The following is a 19,605-nucleotide window of genomic DNA, read 5'->3' as shown; positions in this document are numbered from 1 at the left end:
CCCGGCCACCCGGCTCTCCTCACAGCTCCCATCTCGCCATCTCTCTGCCCTGCACACTGAACAATCTCTTCTCATTTTTCTACCACTTCACACATTATCTCCTCGTCTCTGTCGACTCTGCAGCTAATGCTGGCAAGCGCCTTGTCATAGTTTTCATTTCTGAACCTTCTTTTCGGCCCTTTCAAACCTGTGACATCTTCCCGCCTTGCAGCTAGGTGTGACTGCAAGATAGAAGAGGAAGCCAGTGGGACGCACTCTGGGAAGGGGCCTCCATACAGGGCCAGACTGCCAGGGAAAGCCCCGCGTTTCTCATCCCAGCTTCATTTTCTTCTATCCATCAGTGCTGGGATGATGGCCGCACTCCAGCCTGTCTTAGACCTGCCTCAAGCACAGAGCTGTGAGCCCAAGGAGCAGGAAGGCGGGAGCCCGGGGCTGTGGTGACAGATGGAGTCGTCACACCACTGGAGGGTCGCCCACCTCTGGGTTTCCTGTTCACACGAGAAGTAAGCCAGCTGCCACTGTGGTCTCGAGGCACTGTTCTCTGGCACTGTGGATGATCACACAGCTAGCCGGAGCAATCCTAACTCACTCGCCGGGCTGTATCTAAGGTCCTGGGGTTTGCTGGTTGGCTCCGGGCCACTGTGCGTGTGTGGGCCCCTTGTGGTCCTGGTCGTGTGCCCCCGCAGGGGTCTAAGAGACACCTACTGTCCACTTGCCTCCAAAAGCCTCGGTCCACAGGGGTCCCTGCAGAGGACCTCCTCCCACCACAGCCCCCCAGAGCCAGTGTTTCCTGGCTGCTTCCGTGCCACGCTGGGGCCACAGCCCTGCCTGCCAGTCCCACCTCTCAGGCTCCTCAGCCCTGGAGGCCACACCTGGCTCTGAGTTTAGGGAAAAGCTTTGGAATGATGACTGACCACAGTCACCCAAAATAACCTTTTGGATGGCAATTCCGGCCCTTATGAAATGCAGGGAGCTGGTTGCCCGGGCATTATTCGCTCAAGAATTGTTGAGTTTTCCTTAGACCCATCCCAGAACACCTCCAGAGGCCTGGGCGGCAGACAGCAGAGAGGGCATCCTGTCCACGCCTCTGTCTGACTGCCCATTTGTCTGTCTCCCAAACCCACAAGCCACGCCCTGCAAGAGCTGCTTACGTGGCCCCCTCACAAATCAGCCAGCCATGAGCACCCCCTCTTCTTCGGCGGGGATGGATGAGGCAGGTTGTGCACAGCACCCACGGGTCCCTGCAACATGTGGCAGGGTCCTCCTTGGGCCTTCTGCATCAGCGCCCACCTGGAGCCGGCCACTGGAGCCTCTCTCCAGGCATGTGTGGTCCCTCCAAGGACAGGCCCTAGGACCCAGGCCTGGGGCAGACGCCTTCTGACCCCGCTCCCTGCCCAGCCTCCCCGAAGGCTGGCTCCAGGACAGGGTGAGATGGGGGTGGGAGATTGGGCCACAGGGAAAAGAAACGATCAGGGGAAGCCGGGTGCCCCTTCAGCACTGCTGCCCACCTGGTGTGGTGGCTTAGCGCTCCCTCTCCCCGCAGACACGCGCTCCTTCTGGGGCCCCTTCCTCACACGCTGGTACCCGTCTTCCTGAGCTCAGCTTCTGGGGAGGGCAGCTGGCAGGCCGGGGACAGCCCTCCCTTGGGAAGCAGAACTTGCAGCTCAGGTGAGTCCCACCACAGTCTCCTGCCAGAACGGATGCACTGCCTGGGCCTGGAGGAGCAGAGGCAGCAGCTCCCGGCGAGGGAGGAGCAAACGCCAAGGCCCGGTGGGGCCAGAGGACCGGTCGGCTGACGGGATGGTGGTCCTTGCTCAGAGGGAGAAAGAGACGGGCAGGAAAAGGAGCCGAGCAGAGAACGGTGGCCGTTCGCAGGTGCTGGGGCTCACCCTCCCCCCACAGACCTCAGCTGGGGCTCACCCTCCCAACACAGACCTCAGCTCGTGGCTGCAGCGGCAGGGACAAGGCCGCCTCCCAGACCCCAGGCCCTGCAGTCCCACAGGCCCCACCGGCAAGGGGTTGTTCCTGGCCCAAGGCTCCGTGTGGCTCTGCCCCAGCGCTGCCCAGGCGGGCAGGGATCCCAGGACCGGCAGCTGGTGGGGGGACGCAGCCTCTGTCCAGCCATTCTGTTGCTGAAAGCGCTTCCACTGTCCAAGAGGCCCCTTGCTCTCCCCTCCAACCCGCAGTCCTGCTGGGGCTGGGGAGGCCATTCCGAAGGAGGAATGCAAGGGACCTCCTGCACTCGCCCTCGGAGCATCCCTCCCTGGGGGACCGCTCACTCACGCTGCTCATCCCCCGCAGCTCAGCATCCCCCGCAGCTCAGCATCCCCCGCAGCTCAGCATCCCCCGCAGCTCAGCATCCCCCGCAGCTCAGCATCCCCCGCAGCTCAGCATCCCCCCGCAGCTCAGCATCCCGCGCAGCTCAGCATCCCGCGCAGCTCAGCCCGGGTTCTTCGGCTTTGGAGCCCAGCAGGGGGACCAGCAGGGGGACCAGCAAGGGGCCTGAGTGACACCCACTGCCCTGGAGTGAGAAGGCAGGGGCGCCACACACACACAGGACACCACACACCACACACCACACACACCACACACACTACACATACCACACACACACTACACACACCACACACACCACACAAACACCACACATGCCACACACGCCACACACACCACACACTACAAGCCACACACACCACACACTACACACACTACACATACCACACACACTACACACACCATACACTACACACACCAGACACACTACACACACCACACCACACACACCAAACACACACATCACACAAACCATACACAACACGCACTACACACACACACTCTACACACACCACACACAGCACACACACCATACCACATACACCACACACACTACACACACCACACGCACCCACACACACCACACACTACACACACCACACAACCAAACACCACACATGCCACACATGCCACACAAACCACACACTACACCAGACACCACACACACCACACAACCAAACACCACAAGACACATATGCCACACACACCACACACTACACACCACACACTACACACACCACACACTACATACACTACACACATCACACACTACACACACCACACACTACACACACCACACATAAACGCACATTACACACACCACACACACACACTACACACACCACACTTACAACACACACCACCCTACACACACATCACACAAACCATACACAACACACACTACACACACAACACACTCTACACACACCACACACAGCACACACACCATACCACATACACCACACACACTACACACACACCCACACATCACACACACTACACACACACAACACATTACACACACCACACACAGTACACACACCACACACACTACACACACCACACACAAACGCACACTACACACACCACACAACCAAACACCACACACACCACACACTACACCACACACCACACACTACACATACCACAAACACACACTACACACACCACAGAAACACCACACATTACCGCACACACCACACACACTACACATACCACACACAAACACACACGCCAAACACGCCACACACAGTACACACACCACACACACTACACAACCAAACACCACACACACACTACACACACGACACACACCACACACACGACACACACCACACACTACATAAAAACACTACACACACCACACACACCAAACACCACACATGCCACACACACACCACACACACTACACTACACACCACACACACTACACCCACCACACACACAACACACCACACACACCACACACTACACCACACAACACACACAACACATACTACACACACCACACACACACTACACCCACCACACACCACGTACACACTACACACACCACACAATGCACACTACACACACCAAACACATTACACCACACACCACACACACTACACACACCACACACACCACACACAAATGCACACTACACACACCACACACACCACACAAATGCACACTACACACACCACACACACCACACACTACACCACACACCACACACACCACACATTATGCACATCACACACAGCTCACACACAACACAGCACACATACCACACACACTACACACAACACATCACACAAACCACACACACAACACACTACACACACACCACACTCTACACACATCACACACAGCTCACACACAACATACACCACATACACTACACACACACCACACACCACACACAGCACACACATATCACACACAAACACACACAGTACACACAGCACACATGCTACACACACAACACACACTACAACCACACACACTACACACACACCACACACACTACACACACCAAACACCACGTACACTACACACAACACACATAACACATACTACATACAACACACAATATACATGAACAGAGATACACACCAACACACACAATACACATACCACATACAGTACACATAAACACACACACCTACACACACACATATACATGTACACACTGGGAGATTTAGAACATAAATTGACATCTAAACTACTAACCACATTCTAGAAAGTTTAGAAAACAGCGGGGGGGGTGGCTAGAAATCACCTGCCACCCCCCCTTAACAAACAGCCCAACGATTTTTTTGTGTGTATAATAAATTGTGGAAATATCTCATTCAATTTTTAAAAAGTTTATTCTTAAATTGGGCAGATAAATTGGGTGTTATTTTTTAACTTCTGGGAAATGTTTCGAAAACAGGATAGAACAGAGAGTTTTTATTTGCAAACACTATTAACCATTTCCTGTTCCAACCTCAGAAATTGCTGTGAATCAGGCGCTGCCTCCCCACCGCGGTGCCCTTGGCCCGGCGGCTGCAGCGTGGTTTCCACCCGGCCAGCCGGGCGCCCGGCGCCTCCCACTGCAGAAGCAGTTTCGGGATGGTCCTGCTGTTTCCAGTGCTTCCCCGGACCGTCCCTGCGCGGATGGAAACTTCCCACTGGCCCGAGCGAGCACGGGGATTCCCCTCCCCTCGCCACTTTCCATCGCTGCTGGCTCATGTTCCAGCACACGGGGCCCATCTCACCACTGCCGTGCGCCGGGCGCCATGCGTCATGACGTGCAGGCTCCTTGGAAACTGTAGGGTTTCTCTTCTCAGTCCAGGAGCATGGGAGGGCCCCCAGCGAGGGGAACCTTCTCCAGGCCCCTGAGAGCAAGGCCCCAGTCTCGGAAAGCAGTCCTAGATCCCCTGGCCTCCTGGGCGCTCTGGCCCACAGAGGGCTTCCGGGGCCTTTAGTCATAGTCACCAAGAACTGGAGTCCACCCAGACTCACTTAAACTGAAGAATGGCTGACTAAATTGTGGTGTGGTACGTACATCCACACCACAGCCTGGATGGCTCGGCACAGAGAGGAACGGGCTGCTGAAACACACGCGCTGGAGGCATCTCCAGGGAATCCCGGAAGGATGCGTACTGCACCTTCCCACGGCTGTCGCTGGAATGAAACAGTGATGGGGGTGGAGGGCAGGCTCGTGGCCACCAGCAGGGAGGTGGGTGTATTGCCAAGGGCACCCGGAGGACCCCGTGGTGATGGGGACGTTCTGCAGCTTCGCTGTCAGGGGATGCAGGAGCCTTCGCTTGTGCCCACATTGTGCAGCCTTTGATAGGCACACATTAGCCAGAAACGGGGACTCAGGATGGGATCGAGGTGTCACATCAAAGTCATTAACCTGGTTGTGACGTTGTCCTGTGGTTTTCCAAACTGTTATCATTCAGAGAGACTGAGCAGAGTGTATGAGGAAACATCTGTGTAATTTCTTACAACTGCAAGTAAATCTACAATTATCTCAATTGTAAATGATACAATACTCAACCAAAACATACAACCATCAGCCAGGTGTGGTGGCTCACGCCTGTAATCCCAACTCTTTGGGAGTCCAAGGTGGGAGAATTGCTGGAGGCCCGGAGTTTGAGACCAGCCTGGGTAACATAAAGAGACCTCCTCTGCCCCCACCCCAAATTCTACAAAAAAAAAAAATGTTAGATATGAGCTGGCCACGGGGTGCACGCCTGTGGTCCCAGCTACTCAGGAGGCTGAGGTCGGAGGATCGCTTGAGCCCAGGAGGTCGAGGCTGCAGTGAGCCAAGATCACACCACTGCACTCCAGCCTGGGTGCAGAGCAAGACCCTGTCTCTAAAAGAAAATAAACAGACAAAAACCACATACAACTTTGCTTGTTGTAAATTATCTTTTAACTGAATGCCCTGGATTGAATCTGGCTGCTGCCATCCCAGGGCCAGTGATTTGGATGGGGTATGACCCTCTGTGAGGAAGGAGCAGGCGGTGGGGGAAGGGCCTGGGTGTCCAGGTTCCCTGGGAAGGAAGGCTGAGAAAAGGAGATGGGGGAGGGGTGCGCAGGGCCGGCCAGCCAAGGGCCCCTTAGCCCCATCTACCCTGCTCCCCGGACTCCGCCTGCCTTTCCTCCTCGTGACAGAAGACAGTGGAAGCCTACTGGGTGGAAGGCACGGGCTTAGGATGTGTGTGGGAGGAAAGTGTGTGTGCTGGGGAGCATGTATGTTTGGGAGTTGTGTGTGTTGGAAATCGTGTGTTGGGGATTGTGTGTATATTGCAGATTTTGTATGTGTGTTGGGGATTGTGGTGTGTGGGTGTTGTAGATTGCGTGTTGGGGATTGTGTTGGGGATTGTGTATGTGTTGGGGGTTGTGTGTGTGTTGGGGATTGTGTGTGGGGGAGATTGTGTGTGTGTGCTGGGGATTGGGTGTGTTGGGGATTGTGTGTGTGTTGAGGATTGTGTGTGGGGGAGATTCTGTGTGTGTGCTGGGGATTGGGTGTGTTGGGGATTGTGTGTGTATTGGGAATTGTGTGTGTGTTGAGGATTGTGTGTGTTGGGGATTTGTGTGTGTGTTGGGGATTCTGTGCATGTTGGGAGTTGTGTGTGAGTTGGGGACAATGTGTACAGAGGATTGTGTGTTGGAAATTTTGTGTGTGCGTTGGGAATTTTGTGTATGTGTTGTGGATTGCGTGTACGTTGGGGATTGTGCATGTTGGGAATTTTGTGTGTGTGTTGAGAATTGTGTGTGAGGGAATTGTGTGTGTTTGAGATTGTGTGTGTATTGGGAATTGTGTGTGTGTTGAGGATTGTGTGTGTTCTGAGGATTGTATGTGTTGGGAATTTTGTGTGTGTGTTGAGGATTGTGTGTGTTGGGGATTCTACGTATGTTGAAAGTTGTGTGTGTGTTGGGATTGTGTGTGTGTTGTGGATTGTGTGTGTTGGGAATTGTGTGTGTGTGTTGAGGATTGTGTGCAGGGGGATTGTGTGTGTTGGAGATTGTATGTGTTGGGAATTTTGTGTGTGTGTTGGGGACTGTGTATGTTTTGGGGATTGTGTGTGTTGGGAATTTTGTGTGTGTGTTGAGGATTGTGTGTGGGGGGATTGTGTGTGTTGGAGATTGTGTGTGTGTTGGGGACTGTGTGTGTGTTGGGGACTGTGTGTGTTGGGGTGTGGTGTGTTGGAAATCGTGTGTTGGGGACACCGTATGTGTTTGGGGGAGGGTGTCAATAAGTGGTCTGGAGTGTGATATTGGGGTGCAGGCTCCATGAGTCCCCACCCCACACCTGAGCCCTGGGACCGCCTATCTGCTTCGGGGTGGGGTCCCAGGACCCTGTAGGTTCAGCCTACTAGTCCAGGCCCAATGCCCAATGCCTGCATCCCTGCAGGCCCTGTGCTCTCCAGGCTCAGACCCCTCGCAGCCCTGCAGACCCTCCCTGGGTCCATGTGTCTCTTTGCAGGTGCTCCAGCGAGTAGCAATGTGGAGAGACCATCAGGCAGCCCTGGCCTCAGTGGCCGCAGTCCCCTGGCTCCACGCTGGGCCCACCCCACCAGGTCTCCTCTCCCATGGCCCAGGGGCCTTCAGTGGGACTGAGAGGAGGAGGGAAGGAGAGTGGGTGACAGGGAAGAACTGCAGGGAGAGAGGAGAGGGGTGGGAGAAGGAGAAGGAAGGAAGGGGTAGGATGGAAGCTGGGTTTCTCCCTGTGCCCGCCCCCTACTCCAGGACATGTGTCCAAGCCCTGGCAGGTGGAATTTTGGGGGCAGGGCCTTGGTGGTGAGGAGACCTTCCAGGGGTCTGATAGCATCTCCCATCTCAGAGCCCACCTCCTGGGCCCAGCCTCCCCTCCAGCCCACACAGTGGCATTCCCAGTCCTCAGAGGACAGCTTCGTCCCACAAAGCTCAGAGCCTTGAGGAAGGCCCACTGCTGCCCTGGAACAGAGACAGCATTCAACAGAGGTTGGAACAAGGCTCTACAGGGCTGGGGGCAGAGGGAGGTTCTGTCCAGAATCTGCCTTCAGGACAAGTACAGCCAGCAGGGGCAGCTTAGCCACTTATCCACTGCCTGGGCGAGGCACAGGGCTATGGAGGCACCTACCAACCAACAGTTCTCCAGCCCCAGAGCCCCAGCCCCTGAGGCACAAGGGTGGGTGTGCCAGGAGACAGTTGCTGCGGGCCACCTTAGCTGTCTGGCAGCACAGTGGGTGCTGCCAGGCTCCCTGGGGGCCCCCCGCCAAGCCCACCTGGCCAGCTGGGCCCCCCCCACCTCCCCACCAAGCCACCCACACAGCCTCACATCTCTGAGACCCGGGAGTGGCCCTTTGTTCATAAACGAGAGCTTCCTCGCCGTGGCCGCGCCTCGCAGACATCATCTTTGATGCTCTTTTTCCACTGTTTCGGTGCTTTAATGTTTTCCCTTCAGAGCCGGGCCGAGTGTCTCTCGGAGCCAGGCAGCCGCGCCAGCTGTCAGGCGGTTTCTAGCCTCGCTTCGGTTATTTTAAGCTGATGAGCCTGACGCATCTCATCACTAATATCAGCAGTTTCATTTCTCCTGTTTTCCATTCGCTGTAATAAAATGCTCAGCACAGAATACAAGGAGATAAGCAAGCCATTTCACAAACGCCGGGCCGCCAGCCAGGCCCAGGCACTGGACCCCCTGAACCACCCCACCCTGGCACGAGTGGGCTGGAGGGCAGGGCCCCGGGGAAGAAGGTCAAGGCTGGAAGGGGAGGTCAGCCTCACAGCCAGCCCCTGCCACCGCCCCAGCCCCCCCGTCAGGCTGTTGCAGGCATCACACGGTGGAAAGATCTGGAACTGTGGCCATGGTGTGAGGCCATCCACAAGGTGGAAGCTTTGAGGGGGAGCCGATTAGCCATGGACAGTTGTCATTCAGTAGGGTCACCTGTGCCCCAGCGAAGGGGGATGGGCCGGGAAGGCAGAGGCCAGGCACCTGCCCCCAGCAGGGGCAGAGGCTGTGGGCAGCCGGGAGGCTCCCAGAGGCTCCGACAGAATGGGAGTGGGGTTGAGCCCACCCCTCACTGCAGCCCAGGAACCTGAGCCCAGAGGGGGCCACCCACCTTCCCCAGGCAGGGAGGCCCGGCCCCCAGGGAGATGGGGGGGATGGGGGAGGAGAAGGGCCTGCCCCCACCCGGCAGCCTCAGGAGGGGCAGCTCGGGCGGGATATGGAAAGAGGCCACAGCAGTGAGCAGAGACACAGAGGAGGAAGGGGCCCTGAGCTGGGGAGACCCCCACGGGGTAGGGCGTGGGGGCCACGGGCCCACCTCCTCCCCATCTCCTCTGTCTCCCTGTCTCTGTCTCTCTCTCCCTCCCCCACCCTCTCCCCAGTCCTACCCCCTCCTCACCCCTCCTCCCCCAGCACTGCCTCTGTCACTCTCGCCCACGTGGATGTGGAGGAAGAGGGGGCGGGAGCAAGGGGCGGGCACCCTCCCTTCAACCTGACCTGGGACAGTTTCCCTTCCGCTCACCTCCGCCTGAGCAGTGGAGAAGGCGGCACTCTGGTGGGGCTGCTCCAGGCATGCAGATCCCACAGGCGCCCTGGCCAGTCGTCTGGGCGGTGCTACAACTGGGCTGGCGGCCAGGATGGTTCTTAGGTAGGTGGGGTCGGCGGTCAGGTGTCCCAGAGCCAGGGGTCTGGAGGGACCTTCCACCCTCAGTCCCTGGCAGGTCGGGGGGTGCTGAGGCGGGCCTGGCCCTGGCAGCCCAGGGGTCCCGGAGCGAGGGGTCTGGAGGGACCTTTCACTCTCAGTCCCTGGCAGGTCGGGGGGTGCTGTGGCAGGCCCAGCCTTGGCCCCCAGCTCTGCCCCTTACCCTGAGCTGTGTGGCTTTGGGCAGCTCGAACTCCTGGGTTCCTCTCTGGGCCCCAACTCCTCCCCTGGCCCAAGTCCCCTCTTTGCTCCTGGGCAGGCAGGACCTCTGTCCCCTCTCAGCCGGTCCTTGGGGCTGCGTGTTTCTGTAGAATGACGGGTCAGGCTGGCCAGAACCCCAAACCTTGGCCGTGGGGAGTCTGCGTGGCGGCTCTGCCTTGCCCAGGCATCCTTGGTCCTCACTCGAGTTTTCCTAAGGATGGGATGAGCCCCATGTGGGACTAACCTTGGCTTTACGACGTCAAAGTTTAGATGAGCTGGTGATATTTTTCTCATTATATCCAAAGTGTACCTGTTCGAGTGAGGACAGTTCTTCTGTCTCCAGGATCCCTCCTGGGTGGGGATTGTGCCCGCCTGGGTCTCTGCCCAGATTCCAGGGCTCTCCCCGAGCCCTGTTCAGACCATCCGTGGGGGAGGCCTTGGCCTCACTCTCCCGGATCGAGGAGAGAGGGAGCCTCTTCCTGGGCTGCCCGTGACCCTGGGCCCTCTGTGTACACTGTGACCACAGCCCGCTCCTGGACCCTCTGTGCCCGGCTGGCCCTCTGTGCCCAGCCAGCCTGCACCTGGGGATGCCAAGGCCTGGGGAGGGTGGTTTCACCCAGGCCAAGCCTAAGACAGTCCCTCTGGGCCCTGCTGGGTACCGGGGTGTGACACCACTGGGAGGACAAGATGAGGGGCACCCCTGGGGCCGCCCTGACACCCCCTCGAGGCTCCTGCCCCGGGGGTCCTGGTGCCCCTTCACTGTGGCAGGCGACTGGGGGTTCCCCACCTCGGCCCCTCTCCCGGGGCCTGCTCCCCGGCACCTGAGGCAGCATCCTTGTCAGGGCCGTGCCTTCCTGCCTCAGCGCCACCTCTTAAGGTTGGCCCGTGGGTCACTCAGGACTCAGAACTGGAGATTCTGGGCAAAAGGCAAAGAGCAAAGGGCCAAAAGGCATCCCAGGGAGACGACTGCGGGGGAACCAGAGGGCAGAGGGGCGCTCGTCACAGGGGAGGGGGAGCTGAGCGAGGCAGGAGGGGAGCCGAGCCTCTCCCCCCGTGTCCCGGCTCTTCAGGCACGCCCTCGGGACGCCACCCTCCCCGACCCAGGCGGGAAAGATAAGAGCAAGGTGTCCGCAGCCTGACACTCGTGCCTCAGGTGCCCGCGCTTGTGCCGGACAAGACTCTCACAGGTGGCATGCCTCGGTTTCCCCACTGGTAACAGCACAGGGCACTCAGCAAGGCGCAGTGGGCATGACTGGGGTCCTGTGGGTCCTGACCCAGATGTGGCCACCCCGGCCGCAGTGGTCTTCATTCCAGGATGCCTCTTTTCCCTCCTGATCTATTCACTGCGTTCGCCATTCGGTCATTCCCGGGGCCACCACTCCCACCTCAGGTGTGTGCTTCCCTTGTGTTTTATGAGATATCCCCAACCCGGCTGCTTATTGGCCCCGTCCGAGGGCAGGAGCATAAATAAGAGCCTCTGCTTTGGCGTGGGACCACTGTGAGCTCCAGTCAGCGCTGCCACTGCTGAGCTCTGGGCCTTCGACAGGACTTGGCCCCTTACTGACTTCTCCGTGTGCTTTGGGTCATGGGTGAGGACGCCTCCTGGCAAGGCTGCGTCCTGAGGATTAAATCGGGTCATCTGTGAAAACTACCCAGCCCAGCCCCTGACACTTTTTTGTTTGTTTCTTTTAGTGACAGGGTCTTGCTCTGTCACCCAGGCTGGAGTGCAGTGGTGTGATCTCGGCTCACTCGACCTCCGGGGCTCAAGCAATTCTCCCACCTCTGCCTCCAGAGTAGCTGGGACTATAGGCACGTGCCACCCTGCCAGGCTAATTTCTTCCATTTTTTTTAGAGACAGGGTCTCGCTATGTTCCCCAGGCTGGGCTCAAATGGTCCTCCCACCTCAGCCTCCCCAAGTACTGGGATTACAGGCATAAGCCACTGCATCTGGCCTCCATGACACATATTTTTAAAGTCTGATTTTTAAAGTCAAACTTTTGAAGTCAGATTTTAAACGGACTATTTTGAAAAATATACAAAAACGTTTAAAAACAATGAATATCCCTCACCTAGAATCAATAACTAAGAATATTGACACATTTGCTTTGGGGACTGGGCGGCTGGAGCTGCCATGACAAAGCTCCGCCGACCGAGTGGCTTTTAAACAGAGCCTGCCCTCTCGCCGACTGAGGGCTGGACGTGCAGGATGGAGCTCCGCAGGGTCGGCTCCCCTGTGCTCTGAGGGGCTCTGCTCAGCCTCTCCCGGCTGTGGCTTAAAAACAGAGCCTGTCCTCCCGCCGTGGGGGGCTGGACATGCAGGACCGAGGGGCCACAGGGTCGGCTCCCTGTGCTCCGAGAGGGCTCTGCTCAGCTTCTCCTGGCTGGGGGGTTTTGTGGCCACCCTCTGTGTTCCTGGGTTCAGAAGCATCCCCCAGGCTCTGCCTTCATCTCTGCACGGGTGACTCTGTACAGGAAGCCAGGCCTGCTGGTCAATGGCCACCCAGCCCTGTGCCCTCATCTTACCTAGTCCCAGCTGCCGTCACCCTATTCCTAATAAGGCCGCCTTCTGAGGTCATGGGGTTAGGACTTCCACATAGGAATCTGTGGGGACACGGTTCGGCCCACAGCCCTTCCCACCTCCACACACACACACGACTGTGAGGAGTTGGAAGACCTCACTCCTCACCCCTGCCAGGTCCTCTAGGGACAAGCTCGCTGTCCTCATCCCAGCACAGCCCGTGGGACGGTTTCCTTGTCCCTAATGGGACCACGGTCAGAGATGCCGGGTCTGGTCTGGGCCAGCAGGTTCCTCCGCCCGGGGCAGGCAGCCTTCTTCTGTGCGCTTCTGGAAAGCAATGTCCTGTAATGCGGTCTCTCTGCGGGAGCACCCCCACCGCCACCTCACAGGCCTGTTCCACAGCCCCGGGATGGGCTCTGTCTCCCTCCTGACCCTGCATAGGGCACAGCCCTCTCTCATCAACCCACGATCCTACGTGGATCCGAGAGGGAGCACCTGGGGAAACAATGGAATCCCATAGAAACACCCCAAATCTAACTTGATCCAGGACCAGCCAGTGGTCACTTCTGAATATTCACCTTCCTAGTAGACACTACCAGCCAAGGGAGGCCAGGAAGCCTTCCTGGAGGAGGTGGCCTGAGGACTGGGGTGAGGCAGGCCCTGCGTGGGGGTCGCCACCCAGCACCCCCACACTGGGTGGGAGCCAGTCTCTGAGACTGGCTGGGGGAGGTGGGAGAGGGGGCTGCTTGAACTGCAGACACCGAGGTCTAGCCCCCACCCCACCCAGCCAGTTGGTGGAGGCAGGGGAGGCCGAGGGGCCCAGCTGGACCTGCTCCCCGGGGTGGATTCCAAAATAGGGGGGTTGGGGGGGGCGGAACAGGAGCCCAGGGTCCTGGCTTGAGGCCCAGTGGCTGAGGGCTGGTGCAAGCCAGACAGGAAAAGGGTTGAGCCTGTCAGCGCCAGCACAGATCAAGTCAGGAGCAGGTCCCTCCACCAATGTGTGCAAATAAATAGCAGCTAAGTTTCCAGTTACAAGAACAATGCACAGATGGTCCCAGGGACATTGCGGTGTGGACACACAGCGGCCATTGTCCTGTCGCCAGCACCTCGCCCTACAGCTGGGGGGTCCCTTAGCACTTCCTAGCCATGCAGGGTCCCTGCTCACAGTACCCGTGATGACTTCTGTTCCTCACCTGCCTGTCTGTCCCGACAGCTGCATGGCAGCCCTGGCCTGGGAGATGGAGACCCCGAGGGGCTGCCTGCGGTGGTGGGGCCCCTGGGTCCCCACTGCATTCCCAGAAACCCAGAGGGCAGGGCATTTCCCCTGCTCTGTGCCGAGTCCACCCAGCCCCAGCCTAGGCCCAGTAAGGGCTGCAGCCCACCCTGTCCCAGGCTGCCTCCCAGGAGCCCTCTTGGCCCTGATGCCAGAAGCCCATCTTCCTCCATTCAGGCAGGTCTCTGAGTGCCCTGGCCTGGCTGCCTGCTGGCCCTGAGAGTCACACTACCCCACAGCCCTCCTTGGTCAAAATCCACTCTGGAGTGGCTGGAAGATTCCCCGGGCCCACGCCGCACACGCCTATGCAGGGAGCTTCCCCTGGCCGGCCGGCAGACAAGGGCGGTCTCAGAGAGGGGGCTCACCTCAGCAGCCCCTTGTGTAGCTGGCCCTCGCCCCTGCCACCTCTGGGAACACCACCAGGAAGCTGGGGGACAGGCACGCAGGTGAAGGAGGCGAGCGCTTGTCAGCCGGGAGGCCATGGGCACAGAGGGAACAGGGACACCCTGGGTGGCCTCAAGGTCACTTCAAACCCCTCACTCGTCCCCTGGGAGGGTGCCCAGTGAGGTTGGCACTAGGAGTTGGTCCTGGTCACATGACAGACCCACCCACCTCTGGTGTCCAGCCAGCACGCCGTGGGCCAGCCTGGCTGCAGGGACACGAGGGCAGCAGCCCCCTCCTCCTCTGAGCTGGTTGCTCCTTGAGTCATCACCACCGCCTGCCACGGAGGCCGCCTGTCCCAGGAAGCAGAGGGACCGCAGCTGTGGCAACCAGGGCCTGGTCTCTGTGTCACCTCGCTGGGGGGCCGTGCCCAGGCCTGAGACGGAACTGAGTGACAGTGCACTGGGTCTGACAGTGTGGGGCTGGCGCCATGTTTGGGGAACCCTGTGGCATGGGACCTGTGGGTGAGCCGGGAAAATCACCCCGTTGCATGGCATCTCGGGCCTGGATCTTAAGCGCCTGTGTTGGTGCCTCCGCCTGGCGGAAGAGCCGCGACCCCCACGTTGCCATGCGGGTATCCCAAGCCCTGACCCTGGCAGGCATATGTTTCAGGAGGTCCTTGTCTTGGGAGCCCAGGGTCGGGGGCCCCGTGTCTGTCCACATCCGAGTCAATGGCCCATCTCGTCTCTGAAGCATCTTTGCTGTGAGCTCTAGTCCCCACTGTCTTGCTGGAAAATGTGGAGGCCCCACTGCCCACTGCCCAGGGCAGCAATGCCCATACCACGTGGTCCCAGCTCCGAGCTTGTCCTGAAAAGGGGGCAAAGACTGGACCCTGAGCCTGCCAAGGGGCCACACTCCTCCCAGGGCTGGGGTCTCCATGGGCAGCCCCCCACCCACCCAGACCAGTTACACTCCCCTGTGCCAGAGCAGTGCAGACAGGACCAGGCCAGGATGCCCAAGGGTCAGGGGCTGGGGATGGGTAGCCCCCAAACAGCCCTTTCTGGGGGAACTGGCCTCAACGGGGAAGGGGGTGAAGGCTCTTAGTAGGAAATCAGGGAGACCCAAGTCAGAGCCAGGTGCTGTGCAGAAGCTGCAGCCTCACGTAGAAGGAAGAGGCTCTGCAGTGGAGGCCAGTGCCCATCCCCGGGTGGCAGAGGCCCCAGCAGAGACTTCTCAATGACATTCCAGCTGGGGTGGCCCTTCCAGAGCCCTTGCTGCCCGAGGGATGTGAGCAGGTGGCCGGGGAGGCTTTGTGGGGCCACCCAGCCCCTTCCTCACCTCTCTCCATCTCTCAGACTCCCCAGACAGGCCCTGGAACCCCCCCACCTTCTCCCCAGCCCTGCTCGTGGTGACCGAAGGGGACAACGCCACCTTCACCTGCAGCTTCTCCAACACATCGGAGAGCTTCGTGCTAAACTGGTACCGCATGAGCCCCAGCAACCAGACGGACAAGCTGGCCGCCTTCCCCGAGGACCGCAGCCAGCCCGGCCAGGACTGCCGCTTCCGTGTCACACAACTGCCCAACGGGCGTGACTTCCACATGAGCGTGGTCAGGGCCCGGCGCAATGACAGCGGCACCTACCTCTGTGGGGCCATCTCCCTGGCCCCCAAGGCGCAGATCAAAGAGAGCCTGCGGGCAGAGCTCAGGGTGACAGGTGCGGCCTCGGAGGCCCCGGGGCAGGGGTGAGCTGAGCCGGTCCTGGGGTGGGTGTCCCCTCCTGCACAGGATCAGGAGCTCCAGGGTCGTAGGGCAGGGACCCCCCAGCTCCAGTCCAGGGCTCTGTCCTGCACCTGGGGAATGGTGACCGGCATCTCTGTCCTCTAGCTCTGGAAGCACCCCAGCCCCTCTAGTCTGCCCTCACCCCTGACCCTGACCCTCCACCCTGACCCCGTCCTAACCCCTGACCTTTGTGCCCTTCCAGAGAGAAGGGCAGAAGTGCCCACAGCCCACCCCAGCCCCTCACCCAGGCCAGCCGGCCAGTTCCAAACCCTGGTGGTTGGTGTCGTGGGCGGCCTGCTGGGCAGCCTGGTGCTGCTAGTCTGGGTCCTGGCCGTCATCTGCTCCCGGGCCGCACGAGGTAACGTCATCCCAGCCCCTCGGCCTGCCCTGCCCTAACCCTGCTGGCGGCCCTCACTCCCGCCTCCCCTTCCTCCACCCTTCCCTCACCCCACCCCACCTCCCCCCATCTCCCCGCCAGGCTAAGTCCCTGATGAAGGCCCCTGGACTAAGACCCCCCACCTAGGAGCACGGCTCAGGGTCGGCCTGGTGACCCCAAGTGTGTTTCTCTGCAGGGACAATAGGAGCCAGGCGCACCGGCCAGCCCCTGGTGAGTCTCACTCTTTTCCTGCATGATCCACTGTGCCTTCCTTCCTGGGTGGGCAGAGGTGGAAGGACAGGCTGGGACCACACGGCCTGCAGGACTCACATTCTATTATAGCCAGGACCCCACCTCCCCAGCCCCCAGGCAGCAACCTCAATCCCTAAAGCCATGATCTGGGGCCCCAGCCCACCTGCGGTCTCCGGGGGTGCCCGGCCCATGTGTGTGCCTGCCTGCGGTCTCCAGGGGTGCCTGGCCCACGCGTGTGCCCGCCTGCGGTCTCTGGGGGTGCCCGGCCCACATATGTGCCTGCCTGCGGTCTCCAGGTGTGCCCGGCCCATGCGTGTGCCCACCTGCGAGGGCGTGGGGTGGGCTTGGTCATTTCTTATCTTACATTGGAGACAGGAGAGCTTGAAAAGTCACATTTTGGAATCCTAAATCTGCAAGAATGCCAGGGACATTTCAGAGGGGGACATTGAGCCAGAGAGGAGGGGTGGTGTCCCCAGATCACACAGAGGGCAGTGGTGGGACAGCTCAGGGTAAGCAGCTCATAGTGGGGGGCCCAGGTTCGGTGCCGGTACTGCAGCCAGGCTGTGGAGCCGCGGGCCTCCTTCCTGCGGTGGGCCGTGGGGCTGACTCCCTCTCCCTTTCTCCTCAAAGAAGGAGGACCCCTCAGCCGTGCCTGTGTTCTCTGTGGACTATGGGGAGCTGGATTTCCAGTGGCGAGAGAAGACCCCGGAGCCCCCCGTGCCCTGTGTCCCTGAGCAGACGGAGTATGCCACCATTGTCTTTCCTAGCGGAATGGGCACCTCATCCCCCGCCCGCAGGGGCTCAGCTGACGGCCCTCGGAGTGCCCAGCCACTGAGGCCTGAGGATGGACACTGCTCTTGGCCCCTCTGACCGGCTTCCTTGGCCACCAGTGTTCTGCAGACCCTCCACCATGAGCCCGGGTCAGCGCATTTCCTCAGGAGAAGCAGGCAGGGTGCAGGCCATTGCAGGCCGTCCAGGGGCTGAGCTGCCTGGGGGCGACCGGGGCTCCAGCCTGCACCTGCACCAGGCACAGCCCCACCACAGGACTCATGTCTCAATGCCCACAGTGAGCCCAGGCAGCAGGTGTCACCGTCCCCTACAGGGAGGGCCAGATGCAGTCACTGCTTCAGGTCCTGCCAGCACAGAGCTGCCTGCGTCCAGCTCCCTGAATCTCTGCTGCTGCTGCTGCTGCTGCTGCTGCTGCCTGCGGCCCGGGGCTGAAGGCGCCGTGGCCCTGCCTGACGCCCCGGAGCCTCCTGCCTGAACTTGGGGGCTGGTTGGAGATGGCCTTGGAGCAGCCAAGGTGCCCCTGGCAGTGGCATCCCGAAACGCCCTGGACGCAGGGCCCAAGACTGGGCACAGGAGTGGGAGGTACATGGGGCTGGGGACTCCCCAGGAGTTATCTGCTCCCTGCAGGCCTAGAGAAGTTTCAGGGAAGGTCAGAAGAGCTCCTGGCTGTGGTGGGCAGGGCAGGAAACCCCTCCACCTTTACACATGCCCAGGCAGCACCTCAGGCCCTTTGTGGGGCAGGGAAGCTGAGGCAGTAAGCGGGCAGGCAGAGCTGGAGGCCTTTCAGGCCCAGCCAGCACTCTGGCCTCCTGCCGCCGCATTCCACCCCAGCCCCTCACACCACTCGGGAGAGGGACATCCTACGGTCCCAAGGTCAGGAGGGCAGGGCTGGGGTTGACTCAGGCCCCTCCCAGCTGTGGCCACCTGGGTGTTGGGAGGGCAGAAGTGCAGGCACCTAGGGCCCCCCATGTGCCCACCCTGGGAGCTCTCCTTGGAACCCATTCCTGAAATTATTTAAAGGGGTTGGCCGGGCTCCCACCAGGGCCTGGGTGGGAAGGTACAGGCGTTCCCCCGGGGCCTAGTACCCCCGCCGTGGCCTATCCACTCCTCACATCCACACACTGCACCCCCACTCCTGGGGCAGGGCCACCAGCATCCAGGCGGCCAGCAGGCACCTGAGTGGCTGGGACAAGGGATCCCCCTTCCCTGTGGTTCTATTATATTATAATTATAATTAAATATGAGAGCATGCTAAGGAGTTCTGTCCTGTCTGGTGGCTGTGGGGGCAGTGGGCAGGAGGGAGGGAGGCCTCCAGGGAGGGACAAGGCGGCAGCCAGGCTGAGGCTGTGTGTGGAGGGTGCTGGTGGCTCCCCTGGATCCTGGCCTGAGTCAGGCCTTCCCCTCGCTGTCCCAGAAACACACAGGCCCTCCTCGCCCTGTTTGCCCCACTCACATGTAGAGCCCTCCGGTGAAAAATTCCTCCAACATCACGGGGCTGGGGACACCATCTTCCCCAAGCCCAGGCCTTTTAGGGGGGTCCCACGGCCCCCTGGCCCCAGGCTTCCTGGCCAGGCATGGGTGTCCCTGAGTGACTGTGCCTGCTCCATAGCCCCCGTGTCCCCATGCCTACCAGTCCCTCCGGGCAGGGGTGGTACCTGGTGCCAGGGCGTCCACAGCGGGGTGGGAGGGCTGCCCTGGGCTATGAGGGACACAGCATCTGCGGGTCCCTCCCTAAGTACACAGGGTGGGGGCAGCGGGGGAGGCGGGGTCACGTCTGCTGGAGCCCTATCACCCTGCTGCGGTCCTTGGCAGCTAGCAGCAGGGACGGTGCAGGGAAAGGAGCCCTGCCAGGCCCTCGGGCACCGCAGCCAAACACCCACTGACACCCCGGGGCTCATTCTCTGCTTGCCATCCTGGAGCCCAGTCCTGGACCCCATGCCTGTGTCAGGGACAGGCACAGAGACCTCGCAGCTCTGGGAACTCCCGGTGAGATCCGGCAGATCAGGCCTGGCAGGGAACGCTGCCCGGGGGCTC

The 19,605-nt window shown here is 60.0% G+C and overlaps 1 protein-coding gene and 2 long non-coding RNA genes across 4 annotated transcripts, besides 2 other annotated features; 1 reads left to right on the top strand and 2 right to left on the bottom strand.

The window, feature by feature from the left end:
• Positions 2,140-2,921: an enhancer, noted in NCBI's record as "H3K27ac-H3K4me1 hESC enhancer chr2:242807941-242808722 (GRCh37/hg19 assembly coordinates)". NCBI's record gives its function as "activates a minimal SCP1, AML or CMV promoter by ChIP-STARR-seq in primed H9 embryonic stem cells {active_cell/tissue: H9 hESC(primed)}" and the evidence as "EXISTENCE:reporter gene assay evidence [ECO:0000049][PMID:30033119]".
• LOC124908032 (uncharacterized) lies at positions 4,667-9,638 on the bottom strand. The gene is made up of 2 exons (XR_007088436.1): positions 8,633-9,638; positions 4,667-5,813 (listed from the first exon to the last, which is right to left on the bottom strand). It is a non-coding gene; the product is annotated as an uncharacterized LOC124908032 (long non-coding RNA).
• Positions 9,648-10,610: an enhancer, noted in NCBI's record as "H3K27ac-H3K4me1 hESC enhancer chr2:242800252-242801214 (GRCh37/hg19 assembly coordinates)". NCBI's record gives its function as "activates a minimal SCP1, AML or CMV promoter by ChIP-STARR-seq in primed H9 embryonic stem cells {active_cell/tissue: H9 hESC(primed)}" and the evidence as "EXISTENCE:reporter gene assay evidence [ECO:0000049][PMID:30033119]".
• Positions 9,816-18,826, top strand: PDCD1 (programmed cell death 1). Of its 2 annotated transcripts, NM_005018.3 has the most exons (5): positions 9,816-9,947; positions 15,730-16,089; positions 16,357-16,512; positions 16,727-16,761; positions 17,413-18,826. In NM_005018.3, the coding sequence occupies exons 1-5, from the start codon at positions 9,872-9,874 to the stop codon at positions 17,650-17,652; spliced, it is 867 nt and encodes a 288-aa protein (NP_005009.2). In that variant the 5' UTR covers positions 9,816-9,871; the 3' UTR covers positions 17,653-18,826. The 2 variants fall into 2 exon arrangements, with proteins under 2 accessions (NP_005009.2, XP_006712636.1); XM_006712573.3 differs by lacking the exons at positions 16,727-16,761; positions 17,413-18,826 and adding an exon at positions 16,633-16,720.
• On the bottom strand, positions 12,434-15,730 carry LOC105373977 (uncharacterized). Its single transcript, XR_924076.2, has 2 exons — positions 14,606-15,730; positions 12,434-13,047 (listed from the first exon to the last, which is right to left on the bottom strand). It is a non-coding gene; the product is annotated as an uncharacterized LOC105373977 (long non-coding RNA).

This window comes from Homo sapiens, chromosome 2 (assembly GCF_000001405.40).
Source record: "Homo sapiens chromosome 2, GRCh38.p14 Primary Assembly".
In the NCBI taxonomy this organism is placed as follows: Eukaryota; Metazoa; Chordata; class Mammalia; order Primates; family Hominidae; genus Homo; species Homo sapiens.
The sequence above is the reverse complement of the archived record's forward strand: the minus strand, read 5'-3'. Positions and strand labels throughout refer to the sequence as shown.

Excerpts from the sequence above, each read along its gene's own strand:
- PDCD1 (NM_005018.3), top strand. The coding sequence starts at position 9,872 with ATGCAGATCCCACAGGCGCCCTGGCCAGTCGTCTGGGCGGTGCTACAA. Across the intron at positions 16,090-16,356 it reads GGCAGAGCTCAGGGTGACAG|AGAGAAGGGCAGAAGTGCCC; the intron begins GTGCGGCCTCGG and ends GTGCCCTTCCAG. Across the intron at positions 16,762-17,412 it reads GGCGCACCGGCCAGCCCCTG|AAGGAGGACCCCTCAGCCGT; the intron begins GTGAGTCTCACT and ends TTCTCCTCAAAG.